General features: G+C 37.3%; 1 protein-coding gene across 79 annotated transcripts in view, besides 1 other annotated feature; it reads left to right on the top strand.

Moving 5' to 3' along the window:
* Positions 1-14,409, top strand: part of MEF2C (myocyte enhancer factor 2C) — a 186,989-nt gene that overhangs the window by 146,545 nt on the left and 26,035 nt on the right. For all 79 annotated transcript variants that reach the window (XM_011543396.4, XM_017009478.3, XM_047417190.1 and 76 more), the window contains 2 exons: positions 5,518-5,704; positions 8,444-8,491. In XM_011543396.4, the coding sequence (XP_011541698.1) occupies positions 5,518-5,704; positions 8,444-8,491 (235 nt within the window). The remainder of the gene's footprint in view (positions 1-5,517; positions 5,705-8,443; positions 8,492-14,409) is intronic.
* Positions 12,948-14,147: an enhancer, noted in NCBI's record as "CDK7 strongly-dependent group 2 enhancer chr5:88039231-88040430 (GRCh37/hg19 assembly coordinates)". NCBI's record gives its function as "activates an origin of replication core promoter dependent on BRD2, BRD4, P300/CBP, MED14 and CDK7 cofactors, with strong dependence on CDK7, by STARR-seq in HCT116 cells {active_cell/tissue: HCT116}" and the evidence as "EXISTENCE:reporter gene assay evidence [ECO:0000049][PMID:35650434]".

Here is a 14,409-nt window from a genome sequence, read left to right as displayed (position 1 = left end):
GACCGAGAAGTTAGACATCATGAGGAATAGGAGTTGGAGAGGGAATGAACAAGTCCATGATAGACTTGTCAGGCAGCCTTGAGGGAATTTAGATAACCAGCATTGGTACTCACAAGTCATCAGAGTTGTATGATTTTTTTTTTCCTCTACTACAGCCCAGCAGCTGGTAATGGTTAATCAAAATTTAAAGGTGTCATTAGTGGCAAAAAAAGGGTGGGGGGAAGATTCAGTTCAATCACTCACATTAAATAAAAGAGGGCCCATTAACTAAAAATATTTTACTTTAACTATTTTATTTGATTTTTTTATTGGACTTTTCCTTGTGGTAAGTTTGGGAAAATAGTGGGTTTTGGATGAGAGTTCAGATACTTTTCTGATTATGACTCACTACAGTAACCGTGATCACTTTGTTCAGGGATAGAAACTAAAAGTTTTTTAGCTGTCATGTCTGTGTCCTTCAAAGCTGGGACCGGCTTCATGGGCCCTCGACTTGGCCCTGTTCTCATAGGGCTGCACTTGGTTAAATACTCTGCTGTCATTGTCTTGAAGTTCTTAATACTTTTTTAAAAAGGGCCCCCACATTTTCATTTTGCACTGGGCCCTGCAAATTACATAGCCAGTTCTGCTGACAGCATTTCATTTAATCACCCCAAATTCTCTCTTTCTTCCTATCTTGAGTGTTTGTAAAAGTTGGAGCCTGGCCCTGAAGTCTTTGCAAGTTTGGTGTTTTTAACTACTTTTTGGCTTTCATTTTTTAGACAAAAAAAAAAAATTGTTTAAATGTAGATGCTTTCAAGTTTCCTAATTTTGAAAAGTCAAGGAGAAAAAGAATAATGCCAATTTCTTAGAAATATTTATATGTGATTATAGCATTTGCATTCCCTAAAATGTTTAGAGCAGCTTCATCTCTTCATAGATACAACCATTTCATGCCTTAGATAAGAAAATCAAGGTCAAGGGAGATTAAATGACCTGCCTGGTTAGATGGCAATTTATTACATAACCTGGACTGTAACTGAGATTCCTGATAGAAAGGCTAGTGTTTATTCTGATTCTCTAAAATATCTTCTCAGTGTGCTCATTTTTAAGCTTATAATTTGCTTTCAAAATTATTATAGATAGTTCCTTTAACTCAGAAACAGAAAATCTAATACCGTATGTTCTCACTTAGAAGTGGGAGCTAAACAATGGGTACACATGGACATAAAGATGGAAATAATAGACACTGGGGACTCCAAAAGGGGGGAAGGTAGCAGGGCGGGGTGAAGTTTGAAAAATTAGCTCTTAGGTACAATGTTCACTATTTGGGTAATGGGTACACTAGAAATCCAGTCCCCACCAGTATGCAATATATCCATGTAACAAACATGCACATGTATCTAAAATAAAATTAAATTTTAAAAAATTATTATAGGTAGTTCTTGATACAGGTAAAGCAAAAGATTAATAGAATACAAATGATCTTGGTATATTTTATGAATTTTGAAATTTTCAACTATACTCTGATACCATAATTATATTTGACTGCTTAGCCAATCACAAAGTAGTTTTATAATAATCATTATCATCCAGTTGTTTCTGATCCAGAATTCTAGAAGCTGAAGAATTAATTCTTGGGGATAATAGTCAGAGGAAGGAAGGAGTAGAATGACTTTCACTGACCTGCTTGTTTGGATGGTTCTGAACTCATTACATAATTATTAATAATCCTCTTTATTTTGGATGTGCATATAATCACCCAAGGGTGAGGGGATATGGGCTTTGCTCTCTAATGAGACACAACCAACATTCTATAGCATATTCAGGGAAGATATAGTTTTATAGCAGATCCTTAGATACCTATTAACAGTTAAACATTTATAAGTAGTAACAGTGAATTCAAATTAAAACATTTGTAGCCCAGAGATGGCTTTAAATACAAACTCTAAGCAAATATGGAAAAGGGGAGTCTTTAAGATTTATTTTTTCCTAAAACCTGAGACACTCCAGTGTAGATACTCACCCACATTTCATGAGAACCCATTTAGTTTATTATTTACATGGTCCAAAGATAATAAACTGCTAATATCTAGCCCTTATTCACTTAACAGAATGATTTCTGACTACAGTATTTTATTTCTATCCAAAAACTTATACTGTGTTGCATAGTGTTTGGTAGCAAAAGCAACAGACTCAGTCACTAGTTAGATGACTTTGGGTCACTTACTTAACTTACCAATTTGAAAAGGAAAGAATTATATCTATGGTCAAGGGATGTTTAAAAGGTTAAATCATATCATGTATGTCAACTATACAGCACAGTGCCTGCTCAATAAGTAATATACAGTAAATAGAAGCTTTACTTTTGTGTCAGTAGAGTGTCTTCCTAAAAATTCTCCTTTGAAGAAAAATATTAAGTTCGTATAATAAGAAGTAGAGTAGGCTCTGCATTGCCTCACAGCAAAAGGGCACTATTTAACCAACATCATAAATGATTTTATAACCAAGGAGAAAGAAGAGCAGGAGAAAGAGATCAGGATATGGGCAAGGGGCAGGACAAATTGCAGGATTAAATAGGGTGGTCAGCGTGGGCTTCCAAGAGAAGGCCAGATTTTGAGCAGAGACTTGAAGGAGGTGATGCAGTTCGTCATGGAAATGAGGCAGGGAGGCAGAAGGTGTTAGGCGATGAGATAACGGAGGTTGGCAAAAGCTAGAGCTTAATAGGGCCTGTGGACCCTTGGAAGAAAAAAATTCTCATCTTGAGTTTTTATTCTAAGATGAGAGCCCTCACAGGGTTTTGAGCAGAGGAGTGTTGGCATGACTTAAGCTTTTAAAGGGTCAATCTAATTTCTGGTTTGAAAATATAAAGGATGGCAAGGACCGGAGCAGGTAAATCTGTTAGGACGTGACTGCAGTTATCTAGGCAAGAGATGGCACTGCTTGAGCCAGTGTAATAGTCACACCCTCCAGTCATTTTGATACCCAAAGATAGTCCAACAGATTTCCAAAATGCTCCCTAAGGAGACAGTCCCACCCCTGTAGAGTACCAGTGTTCTAGATCTAGAGAGTTACTATTATGGCCCAAGGTTGCAGCAGGAAACAGATGGCAAACTCTAAAGGGTAATTGAAGACAGTTTGTTAAAAGGACTGTTTACAGATGGGTAGAGTTAAGGAAAACCTGAGAGAATAATGAAGTACATTAGGGCTTGCAACCTAGAAGCTGTTCCTATCTCTAGATCTGAAAGAGTAAGTGGAGGGGAAAAGTACCAGATCACAGCAAGATCTATGTGTATAGGAGAGAACAACTCAAAAAGAGATGGGGTCTTCGCTAGAGAAACGCAGCCTCAGCCAGCCTGTGGCCCAGCAAGGATGATGCCACTATAAAAAAATACCCTGACTTTGCTCCCCTCCTGCTCTCTGTGCTGTTGCTGGTGCCTCCCCCACTGACCAGTGGGAAGCCAGAGGGCAGGAGAGCCTGGTTGATGCAGTCTGGAGGGTCAGCTCCTGGGCACACAGTACAGTGAAGGGGCTAGAGGGTGGGTCTGGATGGAGCAAGTGGAGAATATACCTAGTAGAATCACTTTACTTTGTTTTCTTGGGTATGCTAGAGCAATCCTTATTTGGCCTTTTAATGAAGAAATACAATATTTTATTCATGCTATAGACTTCGACTTTACAGCATATGCTGATTTTTTGTTGTTAAAAGGGGGCTGGACATGTAAGGCTAAATTCATTATTTGATGTCTTATCAAACATTTATATTCCATTATGTCATGATGTCTATCCAAAAATTATTTCCCCTGTTTACTGTAGATAAATCCTAATAAAGACTGACCATATTACTTATATCACTTGAACATTTTTATTTCCCTCTAAAACAATGACAGATTGGGCCAGATGTGGTAGCTCACACCTATAATCCCAGTACTTTGGGAGGCCGAGGTGGGCGGATCACCTGCGCTCAGGAGTTCAAGACCAGCCTGGGCAACATGGCAAAACCCCATCTCTACTAAAAATACAAAAAAATAGCTGGGCGTGGTGGCACATGCCAACCACTGCTTGGGAGGCAGAGGCAGCAGAATCACTTGAACCAGATAGGCAGAGGTTGCAGTGAGCAGAGATGGCACCACTGCACTCCAGCCTAAGCAACAGAGTGAGACTGTGTCTAAAAATAATAATATAATAATAAAAGTAAATATGAAATAAAATACAAATGAAAAATCAAAGATGTGTGAAAGAAAAGAGTTTTGAATGTAAAGCATTTGCTGTTGTCAAGATTGACATGTCCAGAACATGGAAGAAAAGAAAAATGGGAAATTAATAATAAGGGAGCATAAACATAAACAAAGAAAAGTATTGTGATCATCACCAAGATAAACAGAGAAATATTACACAGAAAGATGTATGATGCAGGCCAGCCAACCAAACAGTAACAGAAAGTGGATGTCAGCACTAAGGGCAAACAATAGTAAAAACAAAATGGGACCAAAAAAAACAACCAACTGAGCCTCAAGCACATATGCATTTAAATTTGCACAATAACTTATTGAGAACCCCCAAGGGAATGCCTTAATGCCTTCTATAAATCCTATTCCATATATATGTCCATTTTATATTAAGAATGCCATATGTTTTGATACCATATGAGTTCTCTGGCATTATATTCAAAGAGTATTTTTACTCGTAATGCTTAAAAAAAAGTAGCTACAATTATGTTCCTATGTTCATCTAGTTAGTACAGCAGAAACATAAACATGATTTTGCTTAAATTGACAAAATAATTACTCAAAAATCAATCATTGAAACCTGGATTAATCTAATTAGACATCCACACAGCTTCAGTTCACTAAATATTTGCCAACTTTCACAATTGAGATACAGGTCTTGCCATTTGTCAGTGGCGGTACACACCAAAATATGAAGCATAGTGTTTTCTGAATTGCCACTTCAAAATGTGAATTATTGAATGATACATGCTCTGTTGAATCTTGTATGTTAAAATGCCTATTATCTTTAGAGTTACTTTTAAAACATAGACTTTAAAAAATGATAATTAAGGTATATGTGCTATGCACATGCTTGGAGATGATTTTCTATCATTAAACTTCTACATAAATATGCTTCAATAAGCAATTAAATCAAAGGCTTCGGTTTGCATTTTAATCCTTTTTCTCTGTGAAGTCATCACAATCAGGCACCTTTGATCTTGCAGTCATTTCTGGCACCAGATTCAGATATCACAAATGAACAATTACTACTTAATAGAATGGAATCCAAAGACAATGGAGTCTAATGAAATGGGGCTTTGTTTTAAACAAAAGTGAAACATTTTTTAATGGTTGCAAAGAAGGAGTTCTAAGCACATTTAAGAAATCAATTTATGATCTGAACGTCTTGAGAGCTCTTCTTAATGGTCTTCTAGACACAAAGTAGTTTGGAATGTAGAATTTTTCTTGGAAAAATAAGGGCTGTCTGTCTTGAAGAGCTTCTGTTATTAATTCTTTTCTTTTACCTTTGTTTTGTTTTCTGTTCCTGCAGGCTGTTCCACCTCCCAACTTCGAGATGCCAGTCTCCATCCCAGTGTCCAGCCACAACAGTTTGGTGTACAGCAACCCTGTCAGCTCACTGGGAAACCCCAACCTATTGCCACTGGCTCACCCTTCTCTGCAGAGGAATAGTATGTCTCCTGGTGTAACACATCGACCTCCAAGTGCAGGTAACACAGGTATGTCCTCATAAGGATGTAATGCTAACAAATAGTTGGAAGGAACCATTTTCGGCAAAGCCAACACTGCTTTATCTACGAGATGTTTTCTGGTTTTCCACTTACTCTCCTTCATGGCTTACCATCCACCCCCGAGCTAGGTCTCCTGCATGATAGAGCCTAAATTCTTTAGTATGTTTTTCGAAATCTTTCATAATCTGCCGTTTATCTTTTTCATTCTGTCACCTATCTCCTCCTGTGGCTATATTTTAACCACATACTCTCAAACAGGATGTCAGATATCCTTTCTCCACACTTTTACTTCTGCTCGTCCTCCCTGCCTAAAATGCCATTTTCCCTCTTCCTCCTGGCCAAGCTACCACTTCTGTGAAACCTTCCCCTGTGTTCTGTGATAGTATTTATCCCATTTAGTTATTTATTATTTGGGTCAATTTTTTTTTATTTATACAGTAACTTATCCCACAAAGGACTTAGGCAGAAAGGAAATATGATAAGATAGCATCATTTGTAAGACATGTGAAATAAAAACAAAGCTGAATCAGAAATGAAGTTAATTAAACACATGTACACCTGCCACAAATTTGTCTCTGCACTTTTACTTGCTGTTGTTCAATTCACAGTGTCCAAGAGAAAAATAAATTATTTCTCAGAAAAAGTTCATCCATTCTTAGTACTTAGAACAATCAAAATACATTATGATGAATTGTATTTAATATATGTCTATTTTGATACTGGATTTAAAGAACATTTAAGGGAAGAATGTTCTCTTGATTTGCTAAACTAACAGTAGGAACCAAGTCAATGCGTATTGAATATAACAAAATTATTCCTTTATGTTTCCAGAAGCAGCATCAAAAATAATTGTATTTCTAAGTCACATACAGCAAACCATTATATATTTGCATTTCATATTTTTAAAAGTACTCTATAGGAAATTTTTAATGTATCCTACATACACATAGCTGTATGAAAATAGTTTATTCATGGAGGAATTTTCCTGTAGAATACTTATATATCTGCCTTACAATTAAAACCAAACATGTATTACTATTTTTGTTACAGAAGCTTTATATAGAAAATACAGTTAAATTCATCCAAATAAAAAATTTTAATCTTGAGTCTGGGAAATGTATACAAAGGACTTCATTGAGCCATTCTCTTGACTTTTGAATATATTTGAAAATTTTCGTATGAATTTTCAGTAACCACATGTATTCCTTTCAGATCATACTAGAATGCAGTTCACTTTCCTATTTGATAAACTCATGCTCATTTTTTTGAATTTGATACGGTATTTCCAAAATATTATCTGATTGGAAATAATAAACATTTGCTTAAACTGTAACGAAGGCCAGATGCAGTGGGTCACGCCTGTAATCTCAACACTTTAGGAGGCTGAGGTGGGAGGATTGCTTGAGCCCAGGAATTCAAGACCAGCCTGGGCAACATAGAGAAACCCCATCTCTACAAACATTTTTTTTTTAAATTAACTAGGTACAGTGGCTTGTGTATGTGGTCCCGGCTACTCGAGAGGCTGGGGTGGGAGGACCACTTGAGCCTGGGAGGTTGAGGCTGCAGTGAGCCATATTACTGCCACTATACTCCAGCCTGGGCAACAGAGCAAGCTCTGTCTCAAAAAAAAAAAAAAATCGTGTATATATATGTATATATATAAACAAACATTTTCTTTTAATTCCAAAACCTGAACCAACTAATAATTACAGAGTATCACTTAGAGGCAATTAGAAAATCTAGATGATATTCTCACTATTATTCTTTTGGCTGAATGTTGTTTTTTTCAAAACTAAAAGTAATTTTTTTTTTTTTGAGACGGAGTCTCGCTGTGTTGCCCAGGCTGGAGTGCAGTGGCACCATCTCGGCTCACTGCAAGCTCTGCCTCCCAGGTTCACGCCATTCTCCTGCCTCAGCCTCCCGAGTAGCTGGGACCACAGGCACCCGCCACCACGCCCGGCTAATTTTTTGTATTTTTAGTAGAGACAGGGTTTCACCGTGTTAGCCAGGATGGTCTCTATCTCCTGACCTCGTGATCCGCCCACCTGGGCCTCCCAAAGTGCTGGGATTACAGGCATGAGCCACCGCGCCAGGCCCAAAACTAAAAGTAATTTTTATGTTCAATACCTTATTGAAACATCTTGACTCTCATAAATAAACATTGCCAAATTTTAACATACTGTCTAAAGTTAGCAATGAATAAGCATATGTTTCTTAATCTGTGGCCGGTGAAAAATTTGTTATATTGTGTCAGTCAATAAGATTTTAGTAGTAAATGTGGGTAGATTCATGAAACGATCAAATTTCTGGACAATTAACATTGCACAAAATTAATGGCATAAAACATATTTACAAAGAACTAAACATCAAATGTGAGGTCATCTGAGCATATAGTAGACCTTACTCTTTCTTTCACTTTCTATAAAACATCTGCTTAGGGAAAACCTAGACTTAGAAATAATAAAAATGCAGAGACCAAAGACTGGATTTTTTTAAATGTAACTTTCTTAGAAAAAAGATTCTGCAAAATGTCAGTGATTGAATGTATTTTTAACGTTTGAGCACAGCATGGCACAATAAAACAAATGTCAGCCATCTGACTTGGGTTGTACTTTACAAGTTTATGACTATTGCAAGAGGACAAAATACTGAGGTTGCTGAAGGTAAAGTGTTTTGTTCTGTGGGCCTTTAGCCTTTCTCGTTTTGATCTTCCTCTTTAATCCATAGGTGGTCTGATGGGTGGAGACCTCACGTCTGGTGCAGGCACCAGTGCAGGTAAGCCCAGACTCCATACTGCAGTATGTATCATTGTTCTGAGTTCTTCTACTAGGTGATTTGCAGGACAAAGTCTTTTGAACAAATAAAGTTAAGAGATCTGTGAGAGGCATGGAAAAATGACACCAAGAATTTTTAAAGCACTTTTCTGAAGCAGGAGTGGTTAAATAGTAACTTAGAAGAAAACTATTTATTAACTAGAACCTTCCTTAATAAAGCTTCAACTGGTCAGCAGAGAATTAAGGGCTCTGATCCAATCAACTTAATCCTGGATACCATCCTTGGACACAAGAGTACCTTTAGCAAACCATACTTTTTGTGTTCTCTGTTAATCATTTCACATTAAATATGAATCATTTTCCAGCCAAAGAAGTATTGAACTTCTATGCATTTCTAAAGAAGAGTACATAAAGAAAAGGAGGGGTTAAGATTTTAATTATTCAACAATACTGTTAATAAAATAAAATCACATTGGCATTAAAATGAGCTCTTAGACAACATGAATATAATGCATCCCCAAAAGACCCTAAAATATATTTCAGCTAAGAACTTCTTACACTGTGACCAATAATTGTCTCAGTCACATTTCTCCAGGTTTCCGTGTTAATTTGTAATATTGAGATTATTGAGATATCGATGTCATTTTCAATGCAGAGGCAAGATAGCACAATACTTTCAAATGCCAACTGCAGTTCACTATTGGCATAACAAGTAACCATGGTAATTTCTGCAGCTGGAACATGCTATACATTTAAAATAGTAGGAGGCAGGCATGAATGACACAAGGTTATGTTTGAAATGTCAAAAAAAATCAAGTTTATTGAAATAGACATGGATAGCCTAATTAAAATATTTTGCCAGGGTCAAGTAGAATAGCCTGCTAATTATAAGAAAGAAGATAAAGAAAATTGGTTTACAAATACATTTTTATAAATATATCTATTTGAGGGTAGAGTTTCTCTGTTCTGATGCTGGCTCTTCACTAATTCACTGAATAATGAAGAAAAAGTATTAGACCTACACAGTGATTAGCAAACAAGATGAATAACACTAGCTTCCTATTTTATATATCTTTTGAAAATTAGGTCGAGCCAAATTAGTGTGTAAACTCACGTAGTATTTTGCTGGACATGGAAATGAAATTTTTTCCCTCAAAAAATACTTTGTGGTTTGTAGCCTCAAAATGAGAGAACCAGATCAAATCCAGACCAATGTTTCTTGGATCCAAGTCTCTACCAAACACTATGATTAGAAAGAATGGTGAGGACTGAGAATTGGGTGGTCACAAAGACCAAGATATAATATAAGAAAAATGGTTTAGATGTTATGATGTTTTACCCAATATCTCACTGCACCGATTTGCTTGCCATTATGGAAACAGCTAGTAGTGGTTCTGAAAGTCATTAAAAGTAGTAAAAAAGGGCCGGGCGCGGTGGCTCACGCCTGTAATCCCAGCACTTTGGGAGGCCGAGGCGGGCGGATCACGAGGTCAGGAGATCGAGACCATCCCGGCTAAAACGGTGAAACCCCGTCTCTACTAAAAATACAAAAAAATTAGCCGGGCGTAGTGGCGGGCGCCTGTAGTCCCAGCTACTTGGGAGGCTGAGGCAGGAGAATGGCGTGAACCCGGGAGGCAGAGCTTGCAGTGAGCCGAGATCCCGCCACTGCACTCCAGCCTGGGCGACAGAGCGAGACTCCGTCTCAAAAAAAAAAAAAAAAAAAAAAAAAAAAAAAAAGTAGTAAAAAAAAAAAAAATGTGGAGGAAAACATGGCCTACTCAGCTTTGATGGAAGTGGCTTGTTACTGCTTAATAGCTAGAATGCTTTGGAATCCTATATTGAAAATAAAAAGTGTTTGGTTGTTCAATTATTCTGTCATTGTCAATTCCCAGACAGTTGGCTAAGTTTAATGATCCTCTAGGGATAGAGAAGACTCTCAATCCTGTAGGCATAAAAGTTTGACACACGTAGGATATAGTAACATTGAACTAACAAAATCTTATGCACTTAGCAAATTCATCCTCTTACCTCAGGACCTCTACCATAGGTATGAGAATCTTCTAATTCAGAAATAGAAGAAAACCAAAAGAAAGATACTGAATTACTCCACCCTGGTGATAATAAATATTATATCTTGATTGCATATTATAGCTACGAGCATGTAGTTTTCACAGTTTCTATATAGCTGTGAAAGTGTTACCCATATTTTAAAAATAGAGGAAGAAGCCCTTTCTAACTCTGGTCCCAAGGAACACCTGTTGCAGATGCCACTTAGTCTCAAGCTTAGCTGTCATGTCCTACTCATAAACTCAGCCATCTTCCCCTTCTTTCTCATGCCAACCAGTATCATATGTCAGGCTGAATATATCCGTGCTGATGTCAGAGAATCACATAACACCAGAGGAAAACAAGGCCAGCCAGAATGTTGCTACATTTTCAGAGAAGAAAACCAAAGCAAAAAGGCCAAAATATAGCTTCCAAATTTTGCATATTGTCATTGAAATTCAAGGTTTCAGATAAAGTTTGAAACTCTTGAGGCCAAGTGGCGAGACTGCAATTACGTTACTTTTTAGCAGCTGCAGTTTTTTTCTAAATCAAGTCATCTCACTTTGTTAAAAAAAAAAAAAAAGTGAGAGGGAGGGAGAGTCTCATGAGGCAAGGAAGTAAATTGAACATTTATTTTGTGCCTATAAATACTAAAAGACCAAAAAGGTAAGCATGCTTTTTTTCAGCTCAGTTTTATCATAAAGTGTAGCATCTTTCCCATCCAGTGCCTGAGCCATCCTTTTCTCATCATACCATCATCCAGTAAGTTTCTAGAACATCCTAATTCATCTCCCTGCTTTATATTGCATCCTGCTTCAGTCTCCCCAGGACTGCTTGTTCTTTCTTAAAACCTTAAGCTAACTGTAGGTCATCATTCACATGCCAAAAATCCAGCCATGGCTTCTCTTTGAAAATTAACAGTGAATATCTTATCCCTAGGCCCATTCCTACTCTCCAGCCTTAACCTTCTTCCCTTCTGCCACTGCTATCAAGAACCCGGCCCTCCAGCTCTACTAACAGTAGACATCTAAACTGCTCTTACTGTGCACTCTACAAAAAGCATCATTCTCATAATAGTCGTTTAAATTAAGTGTTCACATTATGCCCTTTCTACAGATTAGGAAACTGAGGCACAGGGAAATTAAGTAATTGCACAAGGAAGAGCCCAGGTAGTCAGGTCCCATACTGTGTGTTTGTATGTGTGTGTTTTGAGACAGTGTCTTGCTCTGTCACCCAGGTTGGAGTGCAGTGGCACGATCTAGGCTCACTGCAGCCTCAATCTCCTGGTCTCAAGCAGTCCACCTCCCTCAGCCTACTGAGTAGCTGGGACCACAGGCATGCACCACCATGCCTGGCTAATTTTTTAATTTTTTTCCTTATAGAGATGGGGTCTTGCTATGGTTTTCAGGCTGGTCTTGAACTCCTGGATTCAAGCAATCCTCTCTCCTTGGCTTCCCAAAGTGCTAGGATTACAGGCGTGAGCCTCTGCACCCGGCCTCAGTGTGTGCTCTTAATTGCTACACTGTGCCGCCACTTGGCAATGTCACGGCCGCTTACTCTTACCTATGCAATCCTAGCATGCCTTTCCTTCTTCTGCTTCATGCTATTGAGCACTCTTTGTCATCCCACAGAATTCAGTTCAGCCATTTGAGAAAAGCCTTTCCTGACTCTAACAGACAAGTTATGCACCTCTTTCCTGTGCTTACATAGTAGCCTGTACCAACATTACATTTCTCATTGCATTATGATTGCAACATCTGGGCACATCTCTCTAGGACGCTCAGCTCTGTGGAGGCAAACTCTTTCTCATTCAGTTTGTATGCCCAGTTTAACACCTAAGCGTTAGCACACAGCAGATACTTGGTAAATGTTTGTTAGCTGAGTAAGGGAAAAATAGATCTTCTAGCCATGAAGTTTTAATAGTGTTGATGTAAACCAGAAGGAACATTTCAAATAAATTATGTAATTTTCAATAAAAAAAGATATACCCTTGATCTGTAACTCACAAAAATAATGTATTCTTCTGAAACAGTATACAACGAATGTTTAATTAACCATTTGATTAAATGGCTGAGTACCCTGGGCCAATAAAGCAAAGTTTCATTAACTCCTCTAATATTCTTAACGGAAAACCTGAAGAGCTGACATATAGTAGTAAATGAAATGTGGGTTGGTATCTCAGACCATCACAAATCACCTCTTAATACAACTTCTTATCATCACTTAACTTGAAATACTTTCAAAGATGAAGACAAAGGGTAATAAAGAAGTAGCAGGATGGAGTTGTACTCTTGGTATAAGAGAAATATACAGCAAGTCATTATAATACATTAGTTAGTAACAGTGACTTTTCTAAGGTTTCAGTTGATGGTTATTCATCCACTACTTAATTCTTTCCTCTTAACAACCTAAATGAAAAGTCACTGCTTTTAAAATAACATTTTGTCATAACTCTATAAAACTTTTTTTTTTGAGACGGAGTCTTGTTCTGTCACCCAGGCTGGAGTGCAGTGGTGTGATCTCAGGTCACTGCAACCTCCGCCTCCTGGGTTCAAGCAACTCTCCTGCCTCAGCCTCCTGAGTAGCTGGGACTACAGGTGCACGCTGCCATGCCCAGCTAATATTCTGTATTTTAGTAGAGATGGGGTTTCACCCGTTGTCCAGGCTGGTCACAAACTCCTGAGCTCAGGCAATCCGCCCACCTCGGCCTCCCAAAGTGCTGGGATTACAGGCGTGAGCCACCATGCCTGACCACATTAAAGCTTTTAACATGCTAATCTGAGTGGTTATTGATGATGGTAAGATCAAGTTCGGTTGTTTGTAGTCATTAGATTTAATGGAAATAACCATTAGCAGAGCAATGCCTTGTGTTGGATTATTCACTATCCCGTTAGTATCCTTTGTTTTCACTTTGATAATACGATTGCCTTTTATTGAGTAGAAAGGACCAGTATGCTCAAGGAGTTATTGATTCATAGTTGAGATCAAAAAAAGAGAAAAAAGAAATGAAAAACCTTTAGGAATTCCTTTGAACATTTAAGATAATTTTACAATCTACATAGCTATTTGACAGTAAGGCAAAGGAGATTTATGTATATTGGTTAATAATTTTAATTGGCATTTATTGTAAATTAGATATAATTTTATAAAAAAGAAACTAACATCTGTTTTCTTATTTTGAATGTTAATTGTTGACTATTTTATGCATTTGGTTATCAAGCATTGTCACTTCTGGAATGCTTAATTTATGTCAGCTAAATACATGGAGAGTTGATGGTGGCAGTGTACTGCCGTGGATAAATATTGAGCAGTGAATAAGAGATCTGGTTTCCAGACTCTGGAAAGACTCCATCTAGCAAGACCTTAGGTCATGACTCAGCACCTTTGAACTTAGTACTTACTCAGATTGGAGATAAGAAACAAATATTTTTACAATCCATTTACACGCAATGTTTTATGATAATATAATCATAAAATTTTGCTTATGTTTTTGTAATTCATCTAGCATTGAAAAAGAAAAAACTTAGCATATTACAAAATAGAACTAAGTGGAAAGAGGAAAGGTCAGACAATGCTTAATTTTTCTGTACCAGCACCATTGTTTTGCAAGTATTTGTTTTCAAGAATACTTATCAAAAATTTCTTGGCTGACTTTCTTATTGGCCAGAAAGACTTCTCTGCAATTCTTACTTAGTGACTTAAAATATCAGTGAAGTGGTTAAAAATTTAGTTTAAAAAGTTGGCTTTAACAAGTTTGCATTTTTTGTTGCCCAGGAAAACATAACTTAAGATTGCAATATTCAAGAAAGGGAGAAAGATACTTAATTACCCTCAAATAAGAAAACTAATTGTTAGTATAAAGATATAATTTTT

This window comes from Homo sapiens, chromosome 5 (genome assembly GCF_000001405.40).
Source record: "Homo sapiens chromosome 5, GRCh38.p14 Primary Assembly".
Taxonomy (NCBI): domain Eukaryota; kingdom Metazoa; phylum Chordata; class Mammalia; order Primates; family Hominidae; genus Homo; species Homo sapiens.
This window is presented reverse-complemented; position numbering and strand designations above follow the sequence as displayed.